This window comes from Homo sapiens, chromosome 3 (genome assembly GCF_000001405.40).
Source record: "Homo sapiens chromosome 3, GRCh38.p14 Primary Assembly".
NCBI lineage: Eukaryota > Metazoa > Chordata > Mammalia > Primates > Hominidae > Homo > Homo sapiens.
Genome location: NC_000003.12, coordinates 153,207,421 through 153,229,204, shown reverse-complemented (window position 1 = coordinate 153,229,204; position 21,784 = coordinate 153,207,421). Strand labels below are relative to the sequence as shown.

Here is a 21,784-nt window from a genome sequence, read left to right as displayed (position 1 = left end):
CCCTCCACAACCCATTATTCTGTTCTGGATCTCAAACATGCTTTCTTTACTATTCCTTTGCACCCTTCATCCCAGCCTCTCTTCGCTTTCACTTGGACTGACCCTGACACCCATCAGGCTCAGCAAATTACCTGGGCTGTACTGCCACAAGCCTTCACAGATAGCCCCCATTACTTCAGTCAAGCCCAAATTTCATCCTCATCTGTTACCTATCTCGGCATAATTCTCATAAAAACACACGTGCTCTCCCTGCTGTTCGTGTTTGACTAATCTCCCAAACCTCAATCCCTTCTACAAAACAACAACTCCTTTCCTTCCTAGGCATGGTTAGTGCGATCAGAATTCTTACACAAGAGCCGGGACCGCACCCTGTAGCCTTTCTGTCCAAACAACTTGACCTTACTGTTTTAGCCTAGCCCTCATGTCTGCGTGCAGTGACTGCCATTGCTTTAATACTTTTAGAGGCCCTAAAAATCACAAACTATGGTCAACTCACTCTCTACAGTTCTCTTAACTTCCAAAATCTATTTTCTTCCTCACACCTGATGCATATACTTTCTGCTTCCCAGCTCCTTCAGCTATACTCACTCTTTGTTGAGTCTCCCACAATTACCATTGTTCCTGGCCCGGACTTCAATCCGGCCTCCCATATTATTCTGGATACCACACCTGACCCTCATGACTGTATCTCTCTGATCCACCTGACATTCACCGCATTTCCCCATATTTCCTTATTTCCTGTTCCTCACCCTGATCACATTTGGTTTATTGATGGCAGTTCCACCAGGCCTAATCGCTACTCACCAGCAAAGGCAGGCTATGCTATATATAGTATCTTCCACATCTATCACTGAGGCTACTGCTCTGTCCCCCTCCACTACCTCTCAGCAAGCCAAATTAGTTGCCTTAACTTAAGCCCTCACTCCTGCAAAAGGACTACGCATCAATATTTATACTGATTCTAAATATGCCTTTCATATTCTGCACCACCATGCTGTTATATGGGCTGAAAGAGGTTTCCTCACTACGCAAAGGTCCTCCATCATTAATGCCTCTTTAATAAAAACACTGCTCAAGGCCACTTTACTTCCAAAAGAAGCTGGAGTCAATTCACTGCAAAGGCCATCAAAAGGCATCAGATCCCATTGCTCTAGGCAACGCTTATGCTGATAAGGTGGCTAGACAAGCAGCTAGCTTTCCAACTTCTGTCCCTCATGGCCAGTTTTTCTCCTTCACATCAGTCACTCCCACCTATTCCCCGGCTGAAACTTCCACCTATCAATCTCTTCCCACACAAGGCAAATAGTTCTTAGACCAAGGAAAATCTCCTTCCAGCCTCACAGGCCCATTCAATTCTGTCGTCATTTCATAACCTCTTCCATGTAGGTTACAAGCCACTAGCCCATCTCCTAGAACCTCTCATTTCCTTTCCATTGTGGAAATCTGTCCTCAAGGAAATCACTTCTCAGTTTTCCATCTGCTATTCTACTACCCCTCAGGGATTGTTCAGGCCTCCTCCCTTTCCTACACATCAAGCTCAGGGATTTGCCCCTGCCCAGGACTGGCAAATTGAGTTTACTCACATGCCCCGAGTCAGAAAACTAAAATACCTCTTAGTCTAGGTAGACACTTTCACTGGATGGGTACAGGCCTTTCCTACAGGGTCTGAGAAGGCCACCGCAGTCATTGCTTCCCTTCTGTCAGACATAATTCCTCGGTTTAGGCTTCCCACTTCTATACAGTCTGATACCAGACTGGCCTTTATTAGTCACATCAGCCAAGCATTTTTTTCAGACTCTTAGTATTCAGTAAAACCTTTATATCCCTTACAGTCCTCAGTCTTCAGGAAAGGTAGAACAGACTAATGGTCTTTTAAAAACACACCTCACCAAGCTCAGCCACCAACTTAAAAAGGACTGGGCAATACTTTTACCACTTTCCCTTCTCAGAAGTCAGACCTGCCCTCGGAATGCTACAGGGTATAGCCCATTTGAGCTCCTGTAAGGACGCTCCTTTTTATTAGGCCCCAGTCTCATTCCAGACACCAGACCAACTTGGACTGTGCCCCAAAAAACTTGTTATCCCTACTATCTTCTGTCTAGTCATACTCCTATTCACCGTTCTCAACTACTCATACATACCCTGCTCTTGTTTACACTGCCGGCTTACACTGTTTCTCCAAGCCATCACAGCTGATATCTCCTGTTGCTATCCCCAAACTGCCACTCTTTACTCTTAAAGTAAACAAATAATCTTCGCTGGCAGGACTATGCTGAATCTCCTTAGGCAGTCTAATTAGATGTCCTGGGTCCTCCCAATTCTTAGATCTTTAATACCTGTTTTTCTCCTTCTCTTATCCCATTTAGTTTTTCAATTCATACAAAACTGTATCCAGGCCATCACCAATAATTCTAAATGACAAATGTTTCTTCTAACAACCCCCCAATATCACCCCTTACCACAAAATCTTCCTTCAGCTTAATCTCTCCCACTCTAGGTTCCCACGCCACCCCTAATCCCGCTTGAAGCAGCCCTGAGAAACATCGCCCATTATCTCTCCATACCATCCCCAAAAATTTTCGCCATCCCAACATTTTACCACTATTTCATTTTATTTTTCGTATAATATAAGAAGACAGGAATGTCAGGCCTCTGAGCCCAAGCTAAGCCATCATATCCCCTGTGACCTGCACGTAGTACACATCCAGATGGCCAGTTCCTGCCTTAACTGATGACATTCCACCACAAAAGAAGTGAAAATGGCCTGTTCGTGCCTTAACTGATGACATTATCTTGTGAAATTCCTTCTCCTGGCTCATCCTGGCTCAAAAGCTCCCCTACTGAGCACCTTGTGACCCCCACACCTGCCCGCCAGAGAACAACTCCCTTTTGACTATAATTTTCCTTCACCTACCCAAATCTTATAAAACGGCCCCACCCATATCTCCCTTCGCTGACTCTCTTTTCGGACTCAGCCCGCCTGCACCCAGGTGATTAAAAGCTTTATTGCTCACACAAAGCCTGTTTGGTGGTCTCTTCACACGGACGTGCATGAACTGGATTAATATTTTTCTCACGAAACCGGGTTAGTTCTTGTTGGAGTGGGGTAATTCCCAATAGAGCCAGTTGTTATAAAGACAGGTTACCTCTCATGTTTTGACAGTTATTTCATGCACTTGATTCCACTTCCACCTCATTTTGACACAGTAGGAGGCCCTCACCAGGAGCCACCTGATGCAGTCACTCAATCTTTGAACTTCACAGCCTGCAGAATTGTGAGTTAAATAAACCTCTTTTCTTTATAAATTACCCAGTCTCAGGTATTCTTTATAGAAACATGAAATGGACTAAGACACCACGCATAACTAGAGCCATCCCAACAGTAGAGGATGTAGGTACAGATAGAATAAACATGTTACTAGGAGATGCTCTGAAAGAAAATGAAGAACTTGTAGTAAAAAGTTTATTATTATTTAAGAATGTTTATCCTGCTCTGTGTGGTTTGGGGTTTGTTTTCTCTTGTTATTTTTTGTTTTGCAAAGTATACTTTATTTTTAGTTGTGCAAACGTAATTAGAAACCCAGGATTTTATGTTCCCAAAACTGTGGAAAAGAATACTAATGATTTACTAAGTCTCTAGGCCTAACACAACAATGTGGTGCTCAAGTCTATAAAAAGTTTGCCTGAACAGAAAACTGCAATGCTTCAGGAACCAGGATGCTGTCAAAGTGTTTGCTGAGATAGTTCTCAAGACTTTTTTTTTTTTTTTTTTTTGAGACAGAGTCTTGCTCTGTCGCCCAGGCCAGAGTGCAGTAGCGCGATCTCGGCTCACTGCAAGCTCCGCCTCCCGGGTTCACGCCATTCTCCTGCCTCAGCCTCCCTAGTAGCTGGAACTACAGGCGCCCACCACCATGCCCGGCTAATATATATATATAGTATTTTTAGTAGAGACAGGGTTTCACCGTGTTAGCCAGAATGGTCTCGATCTCCTGAACTCGTGATCCACCTGCCTCAGGCTCCCAAAGTGCTGGAATTACAGGCGAGAGCCACTGCGCCCGGCCAGTTCTCAAGGCTTTTTTTTTCAGCCCAAGTGGTCTTTTAAGTGTGCTAACAAACTCCAAATTCATAAAATTTCTCATGAAAAGTAGAGAATGTTGCAAAACATATTGAAGGTAACCTGTACTGATATTAAAAAGTTACTACTATTTTTTCTATTCTGAGGTGTAAAGTTAGGGAACAACTGAGAAGAGCCGGTTGCTTAATAAAATAATTACTGTTTTAAGAGCTGACCCAACTTTCATGAATAAAATTTTTAAAAATCTAATTATGTGAACAAAATAAAAATATTTTTAAAAATTTAATTTATAATGTCTATAAATGGTCATGGCAGTGACTATTTTACAACTTACTGTCTCTTCTCTAATAAATACACACTATGAGAGTTCGTGTTTCTGGTTTTCTGAGGTAGCCACTTAATGACTAGCAATTTAAATTCATTAATATCACAACTGAATTCATCGCAACTTCCCTACCAAAGCCCTAGAATCATTTTTATATTGTCATGGTCCAAGAGTGTTAAATAACATGAATTTTTAATAATTTCTCTTCTATTACAACTCTATAGCATGATTTTCAAGTCTCGAACCCAGTTACTCTCAAATGCACTTTATAGAAACAATCAGACAATTTTCCTCTTGGGCAGCAGATTGCTTCATCTGTAGTGTTCCGTTACTTCTAATTCTTCAACCTGTCCTCCCTTCTTCTCAATATTTCGGCAGGCACTCTGAAAAATGATCAAACACCTGGCCGGGTGCAGTGGCTCATGCCTGTAATCCCAACACTTTGGGAGGCCGAGGCTGATGGATCACCTGAGGTCAGGAGTTTGAGACCAGCCCAGCTAACATAGTGAAACCCCATCCCTACTAAATATACCAAAATTAGCCAGGCATGGTGGTGGGCACCTGTAGTCTCAGCTACTCAGGAGGCTGAGGCGGGAGGGTTGCTTGAGCCCCGGAAGTGGAGGTTGCATTGAGCCGAAATCACACTACTGCACTCCAGCTTGGGTGACAGAGTGAGAGACTGTCTCCAAAAAAAAAATTTTTTAATGAAAAATGATAAAACACCTAATTTATGTTTCTAGATTAGGTTCTATTATCTCTAGGAAAAATCTAAAAAAGAAGGGAGCTCATATTGGTGGTGTATCTTCTACCTGTCAAACATGGAGTTCAGAAGTTTTCAATAATATCCCAGGAGGTAGTTGTTATTATGCCCATTTCACATGGGAAGAAACTGAGCAGAGAAGTAACTGAGCAGTAGTCCTATAGATATAAAGGGGCAAAAATCATATTTGAACTTAGTTTTGTTACTCATGCTCCTTGCAAACTAAATAACATATTATTTTTGAAATATTTACTATTAGGTTACTTATATACTTACTTTTATTTAATGACTAAGATTTCCAAAGCACTGCCACTTATATTATCCCATTTCAAGGCAGCTGGGGCTGGGCTTGGTGGCTCACACCTGTAATCCCAGCACTTTGGCAAGCCGAGGCAGTCAGATCACCTGAGGTCATGAGTTGAAGATCAGCCTGGCCAACATGGCGAAACTCCATCTCTTCTAAAAAATACAAAAATTAGCCCAGCGTAGTGGTGCATGCCTATAATCTCAGCTACTAGGGAGGCTGAGGCACAAGAATCATTTGAACCCAGGAGGCAGAGGTTGTGGTGAGCTGAGATCTCTCCATTGCACTCCAGCCTGGGCTATAGAACAAGACTCTGTCTCAAAAAAAAAAAAAAAAAAAAAGGCAGCTGGTAGAATGGAAAGCTTGTGGAGGTTGTGATGATCACCAATAATATATATAGATTATATAATATCTAGTGTAAAACATATGCTCAATCACTATTATTACTTATCCTTCCAACAGGCTTAGAAGTTAGGTAGCACAGCTGTCTTGACAGAATTCCTCTACAAAGATTAATCCCTTTCACATTATACTCCACAAGCAAGAATTAATTTTTTTAATTTTTATTTATGTATATATTTATTTATTTAAAAAAAATTTTTTTTTCAGACAGAGTCTTGCTCTGTCACCCAGGCTGGAGTGCAGTGATGTGATCTCAGCTTACTGCAACCTCCACCTCCCAGGCTCAAGCAATTCTCCTACCTCAGCCTCCCGAGTAACTGGGATTACAGGTGCCTGCCACCACATTCAGCTATTTTTAGTAGAGAGGGGGTTTCACCATGTTGACCAGGCTGGCCTGGAACACCTGACCTCAAGTGATACGCCCACCTCAGCCTCCCAAAGTACTGAGCTTATAGGTGTGACCCACTGCACCCGGCCTATTTATTTATTTTAGAGAAAAGGTCCTGCTCTGTCACACAGGCTGGAATGCAGTGGCATGATCATAGCTTACTGAAGCCTCAAACTCCCGGGCTCAAGTGATCCTCCTGCCTCAGCCTCCCAAATAGCAGGTACTACAGGCATGCACCACCACACCTGGCTAAGATTAAAATTTTATTTACAAGGCATTTACCTATAGGAATCTCAAAACCCCATATTCGACTTCAATTTTTTTTTTTTTTGAGATGGAGTTTCACTATTGTCACCCAGGCTGGAGTGCAGTGGTGCAATCTCTGCTCACTGCAATCTCCGCCTCCCAGGTTCAAGGGATTCTCCTGCCTCAGCCTCCTGAATAGCAGGGATTACAGGTGTGAACCACCACGCCCAGCTAATTTTGTATTTTTAGTAGAAACCAGGTTTCACCATGTTGGCCCTGGTTGGTCCGGAACTCCTGACCTCAGGCAATCCTCCCGCCTCAGCTTCCCAAAGTGCTGGGACTACAGGCATGAGCCACTGCACCTGACCTCAACTTCAATTTGTTTACAATAAAGGCAGGCAGGGAAAGAAAGGGAATTACGTATGAGACAGGCTTACAATCTTCCCTAGTCTAGTCAGCATTGAAGAGTTGTCTCCCATCTATAAAATAAGTTTCCTTTTCCACCAGACCTAAATGTTACATAAAGATATTATTTGTCATAAGTTTTATTATCTTCTCCTTACAGGAGATAATAGAGCCTTTCTTTCAGTGTCTTGCTCCATAGGCGGAAGAGCAACCCCTGAGGATGTGCAGACCATGCACGAATAGGTGGTGAGAGCAGTTATCATGACGCAGAGGGATGGTTCCGGTTTGACTTCAGCTGCTGCATTCCTGCTCTCTGGATAGTAGACAGCGAAGTGCAAAAGAAGTGCTCTGTATCAGTGACTCACAGCAAGACAGGAAATCTCAAGCAGGTCCACCCTTCCTTCCTGCCCTTCGAAGAGCTGAGTTGCAGAACCACAGGCCACAACTAGCCTAGAGTCTTGGTGAGAACGGCTGGAGCCAGGAGTCAGAGACAGAGCAACTGCGATCAGCTCTTGAAATGGATTCACGTCAGGGCCCTGCTGCAAGGAAAATACTTTTCTCTTTTTTCTACAAGAATACTTTTTCTGTAGAGATTTCTCTTTTCATATTTACTCAGTATCTCCCTGGCTTGTTCTGGCCTTCGTATTGTTTTTAAAAATGAAAACAATGGGCTTGATATAATTCAATCGATTAGACTTCATTTATACCAAGTTTAAAAAGCATGCAAGAAATGACATCAGTCATTGTCAAGCAATGTTTCCACAATGGCAAAATGGCAGAAAGTATTTCACCAGCAAAATGCAATTGCATTTACAGTAGAATTTGGGACCTAGAGTAAAATTCCTTCAACTCATGTTTCTCTTCATGTGAGCAGCAAACAATTATGATAATAATAAAGGCTAACAATTACCCCAAGGACTGATCTAAACACTTTTGCAATTTAAGTCATTTAAGGGTTACAACTACCCTTTGAGATCTATACATTATTATTTCTCCCATTTTACAGATGAGGAAGCTATCAAAGTGAATGAAAGCCTCATCTGATCTCCCAAAATTGTTTTAAACCTCATAAATAGTAAACAAAGCCCAAATATATAAAATACATTTATATGTGTGTGTGAGTAATAAATAAATCTGCTGCTTGCAGTGATTTATTGTAAGACTCAAATGAGTAAATGATATAAAATGATGATTTATATATTTCCTGCATTTGGCCAGGTTCAGTAATCTATTTCCAACGATTCAAAAAAATGTAAAAAAAAAATCCCTACTAAAAATCAAAAGTCAAAACTCTTCAACGAGTTGTTTACAACAGACCAAATGTCAGTAGCTTTTGACAAGTCCATCTCATTGTCTTCCTGCAAGGTAGCAATGTCAAAAAAAAAAAAAAAAGTAGCAGAAATCTGAATATCTGTGTGTCAATCAACAAACTAGCTCTGAGACTGAAAAATTTCTTGGGAGGATGTGTGTGTGTGTGTGCGTGCGTAGAAAGACAGCAAAACTATCTTTCAATTCTCACCTCCTTTTATTTTCCTGCTCTTCCCAAACTTAACCCAAACCTTGTATTCCAGCCAACCCAATATACTTCTAATGTTCTTGTTCCTTGTCTCACGTGTTTGAATATGGTGCTCTTTCGCTGTCTAAAAAGCCATTCCCCCCTGCATTCCACCTAGTATGTACCTGCACATCCTCCGGCATTTAGAATTCTTCTATCCATCTGTTCATGTACTCCAGGAGTACTTATTGAATACCTATTATGGAATAGGCATGGGAGCAGGAGACAACAAGGTCACTGTTCTGATGGGGCATGCATTCTAGTGCAGAGAGAGAGGCATAAAGTTAAGGAAGAGGAAAGAAAAATGAAGGAGGTATGGAAAGAAGGAAGAAAGAAATGGAAGAAAGGGAAGGAAGGAAGAGAGGGAGGGAGGGGAAAGAGAGGGATATAGGAAAACAAAGACACTAACAAATCATGGCTAGTGTTACACAGAGTCAAATGACATCCGTTAACTGACTGGTTACTTACATCAGGTATCAGGAATCCAGCCACCTAAGTTGAGTTCTGAATGACAAGAAGGAGCTAATCATGCAGAAATAGGAGGAATAGCATTTTGGCATCAGGAACCACTGGTTCAGAGGTGCTAAGCCTAGAGATCAAGCTAGAGTTCCCAAAGAACTGAAAGGAGCCAGCATGACTGAATTACAGTCAGGGGCCACATCCCATTGGCTTTGTAAGACCAGTAAGAAATTTAAATTGAGGCCGAGCGTGGTGGTTCACGCCTGTAATCCCAGCACTTTGGGAGGCCAAGGAAGGCAGATCACAAGGTCAAGAGATTGAGACCATCCTGGTCAACATGGTGAAAACCCATCTCTGCTAAAAATACAAAAAAATTAGCTGGGTGTGTTGGCACGCACCTGTAGTCCCAGCTACTTGGGAGGCTGAGGCAGGAGAATCGCTTGAACCCAGGAGGTGGAGGTTGCAGTGAGCTGAGATCGTGCCACTGCACTCCAGCCTGGGTGACAAGAGCGAGACTCTATCTCAAAAAAAGAAAGAAATTTAAATTGAAAATTTAAAGTGGAGGATTGATATAATCTAATCTATCTGGCTGTTATATCTAATTAGATATATCTAATCACTCTGGCTGTTGAGTGAGTGCACACTTAATGTTAGGGAGTCAAGTGTAGAAGAGGAAACATGAGTTAGAATATAGGTGCATGTGTCAAGCCAATTCTTTCTTCTTTGTGCTCATACATTTTGTAAATACTCAACATTAACATGCTCTTTAAAAACTGGTTTATGTTTTCTTTTCTTGTACTTAGATAATAAGATCCTTGAAAGCAGGCCTGAACCACCATTGTACAATAAACATTTCCTGCATGAATAAATTAATGAAAGAATGAATAATAAAACAAGATCTCTTCCCAGAGAAAGTTTAAAGCCTCTGAAGACAGCAGACATCCATTTGAATAACCACATAACAAAGTGAATCATTTATATTGCAAAAGACAGAGAAAGCATTATACTTGAGGGCAGAGGAGGGAGAAAGCATATTACTCAAATAAAGATGTGATACTGAATTAGAATGTCTGATGTTCTTTAACACGGTACCATGTTAAAACAAGGTGGCGGGAGTTGGACATAAAACAGATTGAGATGGCTTCCACTTCTGATGTTTCACAGTTTCAGATAATGGTTATATTTGCACTCCAGAGTTCTGGGTCAAGATGAAATTCAAATGAATCTACTGGGAAGTTATTTATCTCTGCTGAACCACTAAGTAAAAAGTAAACAAGAGTGTCAAATCACTTTTGAATTGTTCAAATTACAGCAAAACCCTGACAATGGGATAAAGTGCTCACATTCTAGATGTTTCTTCTTGGAGTTATAAAAAGGTCAGTCATGAGGAAGAGTGAACTTTGTGTTTAGTGGACTCCCTTCATTCTTTTCTGCACTTCTCTCTCCTTAGGGGCTGCCCTGTCTCTACCCAAACATTCAGGAACCTTACATTGCACAAATGATAATCAAGGTGCTTTCTACTCAATTCCTTTCCTTCCTGTTTTGCTCCCCCTTCCCCAGCCTACTTCAACTAGGTACATACATCAGGTAGCTTTTGCCTCACAACAAAATACTACAAATCTTTGGGACTTAAAACAGCCAATTATACTTCCTCACAATTTGGTGGTGATAGTGTTTCTGGATGAGGCCAGCTCATTTGAAGTTGCGTGATCTAAAATGGCCTCCCTCTCACATCTGGGGCTACAGCTAGGACAACTGGTATGTTTAAGGCCTTTCTTCACATGTTCTCTCATCCTCAAAGAGTGTAGTTCACATGGTGGCAGAAACATTCTCAGCAGCAGGAAAAGGTAAACCCTATATGCAAGCCCCCCTCAAGCCTCTGCACATTTTTTTCTCAGAGACCATATCTGCCCAGCCTGTTGCCCAGGCTGGCTTCAAACTCCTGGGCTCAAGTGATCTTCCTGCCTCAGCCTCCTGAGTAGCTGGCACTACAGGTATGGATCATCATGCCCAGCCTGCACCATATTTTTCAATGTTCCATTGGCCAAAGCAAGTTACCCAGCCAAACCCAGGATTAAAGGATAGAGAAATAAACTCAACCTTTTGATGCGAGGCCTGGCAAAAATCCCACTGCAAAGGGATATAAGTAATTTGTGACCATTTTGTGAACAGGGTTATAAGTAATTTGACCATTTTGTGATCTATTACACTAACATTTGAAGAAATTTCATAAATTTAATTCACAATAAGGTGATGAGGACTCCTAAGAAAGTATTTTGCTTCTTAATATGGCAAAATATCTTACCTCAAGAGAATTGAGCTTCAGAGTCAGAATTCCAGGCCCAGTGGCAAATTAGAAAGAGTTGCTCTTCTGCAATGGACTTGTGCAGCCCCTCCAGTCCTGATCTTTAAGAAGCCAACTATTTGAACATAGATTCCACACCCTTTTCCCCTATCCCCGCCTCTAGAAAGTTTCATTACTGCCGGGTGCGGTGGCTCACGCCTGTAATCCCAGCACTTTGGGAAGCTGCAGAGGGTGGATCACGAGGTCAGGAGATCGAGACCATCCTGGCTAACACGGTGAAACCCCGTCTCTACTAAAAATACAAAAATTAGCCGGGCGTGGTGGTGGGCGCCTGTAGTCCCAGCTACTCTGGAGGCTGAGGCAGGAGAATGGCGTGAACCCGGGAGGCAGGGCTTGCAGTGAGCCGAGATCGCGCCACTGCACTGCAGCCTGGGCGACAGAGCGAGATTCCGTCTCAAAAAAAAAAAAAAAAGAAAGTTTGATTACTGTGTGCTTTAGAGGCATGATTTGACTCACAGAAGACAGTGTAGACTCTACCAAATACCTAGCACATAAACAGCTCAAGAAATATCAGTTCAATTAGTTAATTCATGTGTGTGTGTGTTTGTGTGTGTATTTGTGTTTGTGTGTCTATGAGTGTAGGAGTGTACTGAGAGAAAGGGAGGGAGGGTGAGCTTGCACTAACACCTGCTCCATTCCAAATGCTGCCATAAGGAGTCAAAAGGCATCATGGCAGAGAAATTGGCATGGGTTTTAAAGTCGGATGAACATACTTCCTTTGTAACCTTGGGTAAATTCCTTAACATCTCCAAGCCTTAATGTCCTCATCTATAAAATGGGTGTAATACCTTTGCTATACCTTTGCTACAGGGTCATTATGAAAAGTAAATTGAATGATACACACAGAACACCTATAACAACGCATGACTCATTATAGACTTCTGGTAATTAGCAGGAAACAGGGGTCAAGTCTAGCTTCCCAAACAAATTTCATTCTTTTCTCTCTCCTTCCTTTAGCCTTAGTGCTGTTTTCCTTTGGTTGTCTGCCTCCTTCCACCTACCAGCCCTACCTAGACCTGTCTAATCAGAGAAATGAGCATGGAAGGAAACGGGGTGGAGGGGGTGTTTTTAGATGGAACCTGTATCTTTAGGTTCTCTCAGGGAGAGGTTGTTCTAGCTGCAGCAGTAGGAGGTAAAGTGAAGGAAAAGAATGGCCACAGCAGTCTTAGACCTCTAAAAGTAAGTCTCTGACTGCTCATTGTCTGTCATTATGCTGCGTAAACTCACAGCATAAGCAACTGCCTATACCTGGATTTACCCTTGGTGAATTTGGCACTCAGAAATTATGGGTAGATTTCAATTAACTGTTGCAGACAGAACACCATGCCTTTCCTTCTTGGCCCCTCAACCTCACATTCCACTGAAATGCTGGTTTAAAATATATGCATATAAAAGAGAATAAGTTCATAATAAATCCCAGGATCAAGGAATTACAGATTTCTATATATTTCTCCAAGAGAGGTGCAGGATGGGATCGCAGACTGCCTGGATGCAAATATCAGCTCTGCCAGTCATAACCTGTATGACTTTGAGCAATCCTGTTTCCTCATTATAAAACGTGGATAATTATGGGACAGTTGACCCTTAAACAACATGGATTTGAACTGCATGAGTCCACTTCCATGTGGATTGTTTTTCAACCCAGGGCAGATCAAAAATACAGTATTTGTGGAATGCGAAACTGGCCTATAATAAAGGCTAACTTTTGCATACGCCATTTCCCAAGGGACCAATTTGCCAAACTTGAGTATGCACAGATTTTGGCAGATGTGGGGTTCCTGGAACCAATTCCCTGCATATACTCAGAGTCGACTGTAGCTACCTCATAGCGTTGTTGTGAGGATTGGCCAAGTAAATCACAATATAAATACTTAGGACAGTTCCTGGAATGCTGCTTAATAAAAGTTAGATTTTGTTGTTATAAATTGAAGCCAGAGAATCTACAGCCAAGAAATTAAACAGAAGAAAGCTGCAAGTTCAAAGCTTGAAACTGGCAAGAATGCCAGGGGAAAGTGAGACAGAAATCAAGGGTATGGGTTTAACGCTTACAGTAAAGCTGTACAAGCCCACCTTCAACCCATTCTGTACTCCCTCATCTACATACAAGGGTGATGTGTAGCCTTATTTAAACTAAAACCAAAAAAGTGATCTCTAAAGAAGTCAAACAACCTTCCTATAAAGGGCTAAGATCCTTGTTATGTGTACTTGGCATGTAACTGCTGCCTCTCTGTTTCTGTTGACTAAGCAATTTAGCATAAGGAGATCAGCAAATGATACACAAATTTTTAAAAATGCACATCTAGACACCTTTTCTGAAACTTCCCCATGTCAAAATATAAAGCCTAAAAACTTTCTGAGAAAAGAAACCAATTATCTATAAAGAGATCAGAATCTGACTGGTGCCAGTCCCTTCCCAGCAAAATTGGTTGCTAGAGGATCATAGAAAATGCTTTAATAGTTCTGAGGGAAAATTCTCTTGAAACTAGAATTATGGACTTTTCTAATTTATTTTTTAACTCCCATGCATACTTTCTGAAAAAAACAATTATCTGGGGACGTACCAGAGCAAAAATAAAAAGTAACCCAAGACAAAGAAGATTATGGCAGCCGAGAAAAAAGTAAACTTTACCTAGAAATCTATGAAAAATAATTTTTGGATGAGAGCTGTCTAGCAAGCCTAGGAAATCAACAGTCCAAATAGTAATAGGAAATCAGAGGGCTCTGAAGAGTAAGTTTCAAGTAGAAATATTCAAGTAGGAAATATTGTTATTAAGAACTGGATGATCTTTGACAAGATGAAAGCTGAAGGCATATTATAATTCTGCTCACAAAAAAAGTGAATTAGAAATTCAAATTCTTGAAAAGATGTGTAAAGAAATCATGGTATAAATATAAAACAATCTATAATGTTGTGTAATATTTAAATAAATTGAAGAAGAGAATCTATTTGACCTTGACACTTGAAATATTCTTCTTCAATTAGTACAGGTTTATTAACACACAGTTATATATCTCCTTCTTTATGGGTCCAATCATGCTACTTTGTGCCTTAGGTAATAATATTCACATTATTATAATAGTGCAAAATCCTTTTACTTAAAAAATATCAATCAACCTATTGGCAAAGTACAGAATAATCAGTCATTGAGAACAGAACCCAACTGATAGAAATATTGACAATGTAAAAAGTTGGGAAATGCAGATAGCACAGAGACAGAGGGAGTATGTGGGGCATTCTTTCTTGTTTTATAGGACTATGAATCCAGATTTCTGAGTTTATAGATCAAGAAAGAAATATTAATTTGTTTAAACATATAAAGGTGGCCGTGCATGGTGGCTCTGCCTGTAATCCCAGCACTTTGGGAGGCCGAAGGGGGTAGATCACCTGAGGTTGGTAGTTCGAGACCAGCCTGAACAATACAGTTAAACTCCATCCCTACTAAAAACACAAAAATTAGCCAGGCATGGTGGTGCATGCCTGTAGTCCCAGCTACTCGGGAGGCTGAGACAGAAGAATTGCTTGAACCTGGAGGCGGAGGTTGCAGTGAGCCGAGATCATGCCACTGCACTCCAGCCTGGGCGACAGAGCAAGACTCTGTCTCAAAAAAAAAAGGTATAAAGGTAAGTAACCTCTCAGTGCCTCAGTTTTGTTTTTTGAAAAATGGAGTTGATGATATATGCCCTACTCATATCACAGCAACTTTGCTAGAAGTGTCAAATCATATTAAAGGCATGGGAATGCTTGAGAAAATAAAAGCAGCACTGGAATATAAAGTGATTTTACCATCAAAGTGTCTAGCCTCCATAGAAGTTTGATCAATTGCTTATGCATCCTAACTGCAAATCACCAAAGGAGATTTAACATATCCAGCTATTTTCATTAGCTCTTATGATTTTCATCCCATGTGGCATCATAGGCCTTTAAAGCTGAAAGAGCTCAAAGATTTTTGAGTTCATCTTCCTTATTTCACAGGTGAAGAAACTGAGTCCACAAAAGTCAAGTGACTTGACATAGTCAAACAGCTCTTAAATGACAGAGATGGGCTAGGAACTACATATCCTGAATCCTAGGACAATGCTTTTCTATTACATAGTCAAACTGGGGGGAAAAAAAGTCCAGATAATAAACTGAGTCTACATGACTTCAGAAAGAAAGCTAGAAAGTTAGGACAAATAAATACATTCCTAACTTGTAAAGGTTTATTCCATAACTTGTATGAATAAACAATAATAAATAGCTCATTTATTTCTTAAGATTCATTCATTTAATTAGCCAGGGGCAGGTACAGTGGCATGGCACCTGTAATCCCAGCTACTGGGGAGGCTGAGGCAGGAGAATCACTTCACCCTGGGAGGTAGAGGATGCAGTGAGCCGAGATCACACTACTGCACCCCAGCCTGGGCAACAGAGCAAGATTCTGTCTTAAAAAGTTTTTTTAAAAAGATTAATTCATTTAATTATTTTATATGCTAATATAGTCTTCTCCACTAGATTTTAAAGGTGTTTCTTTCTACTTTTTTGTCTTTTTTGGATAGCCTATAGATTTTAAAGTTCTAATGAATAGTTCTATGTCTCTTAGTACCTTTTTGTTTTTCAGAGTAATGAGGCTGTATTAAGTATTCACAAAAGTAATTTGGCTGATTGTCTCCTTCTATTTTTATTTTTGTGTTTGAAGTCATTTCAAACTTACAGAAACATTGCAAGAACAGTAAAAAGAACACTTAAATAGAAAAAGTCTTTACCCAGATTTTCCAAGTTTTAGCATTTGCTTTGTTTCATCTATGTATATCTATTTAAATATATTACACATTTTTAAATATATATTTTTTGAACAATATAAGAGTAGGTGCACACATAATGCCTCTTTATCCCTTAATATTTCAGCTTACATTTCATAAGAACAAAATTTTGTCCTTAACCACAGTATAATTATTAAATGTGTAATAATTACCAAATATTTTAAAAACTCAGGACATTTAACATTGATAGAATACTTTAAAGTTCATTTTAATTTCCTTAATTGTTTCCAAAATATTATTTAAAGAATCTTTGTCCAGTTCAGGATACTGTCTAGGATTACATATTGCATTAAGTTGTCCTGTCTCTTTAGACTCATTTAATTTAAAGCACTTTCTCAACATTCTTTTGTCTTTCATGCCATTGGCATTTATGATTAATACAGGCCAGTTATTTCATAGAATATATCTATTAAGATTTGGGTTTCTCTGCTGCTTCCTTATGATTAGACAGAGCTAATCCATTTTTGGTTGGATTACCACATGAGTGATGTTTTGTTTTGCTTGTGTTATCACATTGGGAGGCACTTGATATTCCTTTGCCTCTTGTTGATGATATCAGTGTTGATCTACTTGGTTAAGTAGGATGTTATTCTGCTTCTACACTATTTTCCCTCATCATTATTAAGTAACTTGTGGAGAGGCATTTTGAGACTGGGTAAATAACTTGCTCCTCATCAAAATTCCCTCTGCTAGATCTGGCATCTATTAATCATTCTAGCCAGAATCAGTTTTACTCTGATGGTTATAAAATGGTAATTTTCTAACTCCATTTTATCCATTTGTCTTCTCTATCAGCCAGGATTTTGCTGTGAGAAACAGCTTTTTCTTCTTCCTTATTTAGCTATTATGAGTTTGGACCCATTAATTCTTATTTCATTCATTTATAATTAATTAATTTCTCTCTCTCGCTCTTGCTAAAATTATCCCAGATTTGAACGGGGATACCAGTTGGAATTCATTCAAGCTGGCTTCTGTGTCATGTTGATGCATACTCACCATCATTTGAGCACCTCCTTATTTTCTGACACAAAAATCCCAGGCTTATCATGTACCTTCCCTGCCACAACCGTGAAATTAGCCTTTCTCCATGAAGCTCTAGTTCCTTATTTAGGCTGATTGATTTTTGAGGCTGACATCATGGAGATAAATCGTGTCCTTCTAAAACACAACTTCTCATTTCAACAGAAAGCAATCTGGAACTGGAAAGGTCTTAAGACTCATCTAAAAAGAAATATTCTCTGCTAATTTTTAAAAATTATTTTTCCAGGGTTAGGAATTAGATGTGAGAAATGAATCCATGGCAACAAAATGTACTGAAGTATCTATAAAAGAAACATTTCAATTACACATAAAGTTAGTCTACAAAACAAATCAACTCAATTAAAAACTTAGTATTTCAAGTGAGTTGAAAATCATGAATTCACATTATGGTCCAAATGTAGATATAAGTTGTATCTTGAAATTCTTTTAAAAAGTCAACATGGCTCAAATGGAACATAGTATATTAACACAAACTAATAATATTATTTTAAATATCCAACATGAAATACGTAATATAAAAAAAGATAAAATTTAAAACCCTTAGTGTCTGGCATATCTAGGGAATAACACTTTTTTTTTTGAGACGGAGTCTCACTCTGTCGCCCAGGCTGGTGTGCAGTGGCGCGATCTCGGCTCACTGCAAGCTCCGCCTCCCAGGTTCATGCCATTCTCCTGCCTCAGCCTCCCGAGTAGCTGGGACTACAGGTGCCAGCCACCATGCCTGGATAATTTTTTTTTTTTTTGTATTTTTAGTAGAGACGGGGTTTCACTGTGTTAGCCAGGATGGTCTCGATCTCCTGACCTCATGATCCACCCACCTCGGCCTCCCAAGGGGATAACACTTTTATTGAATAAATTAAGGAGATTTAGGAAAAGGGCAGCCACTTACAGGAATTCAAATAAAAATATGTACATGATGGGTCATTGATAGAATGCCACATGTGCCCTCCCTAACTGAATCGTGAGCAGCCAATTTCCAATTTAAGTACCATTTCTTTTAAAATTTGACTTTTTCTTCTAAAAGCCAGCCAAGAAAGCAAAAAATAAAGATGAAAGAGCAGTTTATTACAAAGGCAGCCTGGAGTTCATGTTGTCTTTGCCCAAGAAAAGCAGGCCAGCCTAATCTATTGCATCCCTGAGGTGGCCTTTCATTGTGAAACCAGCTTGTGGCAACACCTCTTCTGCAGCCCTGAGGCAATTAAATATCTAAGAATGGACAATCCCCCAATTACTTCTCAAGTGGTAAAACCAGCAGCAGAGCATGTTGTAACTCACCATATGTTGTAATTAAATGTAGGAACTCATACTTCCTTGTGGCCATAAAACCTCTGCTTGGGAAGCAAGGATGCAGTATCTGCCATTATAGCCAACATGAGATCAGGTACGAATATATAGAAGATAAACCTTGCTTTCCACACTTATATTAATATATGCTTCCTCATACAAACCCTTAGTTTATTTCAGATTCTGCAGGCTTCTCAGCGACCATATTTGTAACAGTGAGAAACAAATTTAGATCAAAAGAGACCGCAGGGCAAGACAGAAGTCCAGGAGCATGACTGGACTAGAGTTTCCAGGTCCTGCTGTTTTCTTTCAAATAATGAAATAAGTGAACATAAAAGAGGAGGCCAGGTTAAAAAACAGAAAGGAGGCTGGGCAAGAAGCAGCAATAAGATACCAGCTAGGAACGATCAAGGTTAGCTGTGCCAGACCTGCTGAGCCTCGCTCATTTCGAGGGAGGCTTCCTCCTACTGGTGAAATCTAAAAAAAAAAAAAAAAAAAAAAAAAGCCTTAAGAAAAAAAAATCTCTCTAGTGCTCAAGGAGATTGCAAGATTGCAGCATACTGGAGTGAAAATGTTTCAAGATTCCATTGTAACTGATGGGAATATCCTTCAAACAAATGGTCTCAGCTGGAGGAGTGGAGCAGCCACACATTAACTGGACCAACTGTGCACAGCACCTTTCCTCAGTCATTCCGCGAGAGAGTACACAACTCAGCAGGAAGCTGAAGCTCATGAGAAGAATTATCTGATTTACCTGCTCAAAAAGTGGTAATGCTGGGAACATAGTGGATAAACTCTAATTAACATTTTGAAAGAGAGTGGGGAAGAATTTGCTCAGAGGAAAGTGGTACCCGAAGCTGTGGACATATTTGGCGTGTGGGAGAGGAAAACCCGGCCACACTGGCTCACCTCTTGCTACATTCCTAGGCTGCGACTCAGGAGGCCTGCAGGGAAGCAAGGGTGGCTCAGCATGACAATGGGCCCTGCGCTGTAGCCCGGCAATGTGTCTTTCCTTCCTCAAGCAGATGACTCCCCGTGGGGCGGGAGGAAATGAAGAGAGAGACCAAACTGACCTTCATGTCATAACCTGGGTGACTAAGCTCAAGAGTCTTCCACTTATTGTTTGACTTGCATTCCCTAAAAGAAAAAAGAAGAAGAAGAAGAGAACAAAGTGGCATTGTCCCATTACTGAGACCATATAACTTGTTTCGGTGTCCTGCTCTCTGTACCTGCCTCTACCTACATTTATGGTGGGTCCTTGCTGAAGCTTACTAACATCACTCTTTCTTATATACTGTAATACAATTACAAAATAAAGAACTACATCCCACACTCCCATCTGCCTTCCTCTCATTGTCTCCCATTCCACACACCCTTACCTCCAACTTCCCCTACATACGAAACAGACAACTGAACAAGTGACAGAATTCCTTTTATCGAACAACTTGCAGAGTATTACAGAAGGAAGGTCATTTCAGTCCATTTTCTGTATTTTTATAGCTACAATGTAATTATCACTGATGTTCAAAATGAATGTTTGCAGCACTGCAAATTCTGTACCCTGAAGGCCTAAATTATATTCATTATAGTTGTATTGCTATTAATTTTCTTGCATTAAAATTTTTTACCATCCATGTGTAAAATATTCAGCAGTAGTGATAATGAAGTAGAAACCCCCATTCTTCAAGAAAGCTTCCTGAATCAATTACCAGCAGGAACGGGGAGAACAATAATGGTGTGGGGTTCCTCTGGGAAGGCTGTTTTTACAAACAGGATGGGTGCAGAGCAGCTCTTCTTAACGTCTTCGTGGAGATGACATGAAAAGCAAGTCCACAATTCTGCCTTTTTCTGAATCTTTAATTGTTTAAAAAAAAAAATCACTAAAAATAGTAATTTTAAAAACACCACTCTAAGGGTCAATAAGCTGTATAATTATAAACCTCAATTCTTTCTGGCCTTATTTATTTTTGTGCACAGCCTCATGAGATATGGGCAGGTAGAGGCCGGGGCATTTGAAAATAGATGAGTAAATGGAGGATTCACAAAATACTCCTTTGAAGGTAATGGAAGATAAATGTAAAGTTGCTGATTGCCTGGTTTGGATGACAAATGGAAACTAGATTTAATTACAAAGACAATAACAAGCACTGACATCAGAAAGCAGTGAAAATTTAATGCTAAGCCTAGTGCATAGTCATAGACCTGTTGTTTCTTTAAATAGGCCGAGCTATCAATTGTATTAAAACTTTTAAAGGACCTCCAAGCAAATTTATAATTACAAAATTAGTGCAATAATGACTAATTCAGCTTTTACCTCTTCTCTAAATCTCATGTATCTACAGGAACATAATGCGAAAGATCACTTGAACTGTTCTGGAAGTCAGTATATGAAGAAGTACACGTTTTTAGCTAATTCAACCAAGCTGACCTTACCATGAAGGAAGCAAATTTAGAATTTTAGAGGCAAATGCTTAATCGCTGTTTAAAAGTCAAAAGTAAGATCTTCTTTTCTGTAATTTGCTACTGTTAGAAAAACTACAATGAGATACTTAAAATTTGACACTAGAATTTAAAAGAATGGTTGCAAATGCCAGTTGAAGGGGCTAGAATCACAGCTCATATTCTCATTGCCTGGGGAATCTTCATAAACTTTCAAAGCAATCTTCTCATTTAACCTATCATTGGTGGCAGAGTTCCTTAAAGCACAGTTTTCACACATGGCTGGGACAGTTGGTGAAACTGCAATCACCTTTGAAGTGAGATGCCTGAAGTCAATAACCAGATTGACCGATCATGGCCCTGTTTGTCTTCACATTTGCAAGCAGGTGTAATGATTGCTGATACCACTTGTGCAGACAGCAATTTTGTGCTAAAAGCTTGCTGATAAACAACAGGCTTGTTGTCTCTCTCAGTTACCTTCTGTTTATTTCTATGGAAGGGGAAATCAAGACTTCAATAAAGGCTTAGAAATTATTGAAAACTGAATTGTCCTCAGGATGAATAGGCTCAAAGTATGAGGCAACTTAATAATTCACAGAAATAATAGTTCAGTACATAGTACTAGTATGGATTTGAAAAGCTTATAAATAAGGTATTGTTAAATGCTACTATTTATAAATAGGTATTCAATTCTTCAAAAACTGAGGACTCTTAGGAATTGCATATGCCTTAAAACTGCCCAAACCTCAGGCTGGGCGCAGTGGCTCACGCCTGTAATCCCAACACTGGGAGGCTGAGGCGGGCGGATCAACTGAGGTTGGGACTTCGAGACCAGCCTGACTAACATGGAGAAACCCTGTCGCTACTAAAAGTACAAAATTAGCCGGCCGTGGTGGCGCATGCCTGTAATCCCAGCTACCCAGGAGGCTGAGGCAG

The 21,784-nt window shown here is 40.2% G+C and overlaps 1 long non-coding RNA gene across 1 annotated transcript in view, besides 2 other annotated features; it reads right to left on the bottom strand.

Annotated features, from left to right (window-relative positions):
- Positions 1–21,784, bottom strand: part of LOC105374164 (uncharacterized) — a 67,936-nt gene that overhangs the window by 19,321 nt on the left and 26,831 nt on the right. The window contains exon 3 of the long non-coding RNA XR_924592.3: positions 19,319–19,546. This is a non-coding gene — a long non-coding RNA (uncharacterized LOC105374164). The remainder of the gene's footprint in view (positions 1–19,318; positions 19,547–21,784) is intronic.
- Positions 1,938–2,138: a silencer, noted in NCBI's record as "peak4867 fragment used in MPRA reporter construct". NCBI's record gives its function as "represses an SCP1 promoter by STARR-seq MPRAs in K562 erythroleukemia cells {active_cell/tissue: K562}" and the evidence as "EXISTENCE:reporter gene assay evidence [ECO:0000049][PMID:32103011]".
- Positions 2,495–3,120: an enhancer, noted in NCBI's record as "NANOG hESC enhancer chr3:152943874-152944499 (GRCh37/hg19 assembly coordinates)". NCBI's record gives its function as "activates a minimal SCP1, AML or CMV promoter by ChIP-STARR-seq in naive H9 embryonic stem cells {active_cell/tissue: H9 hESC(naive)}" and the evidence as "EXISTENCE:reporter gene assay evidence [ECO:0000049][PMID:30033119]".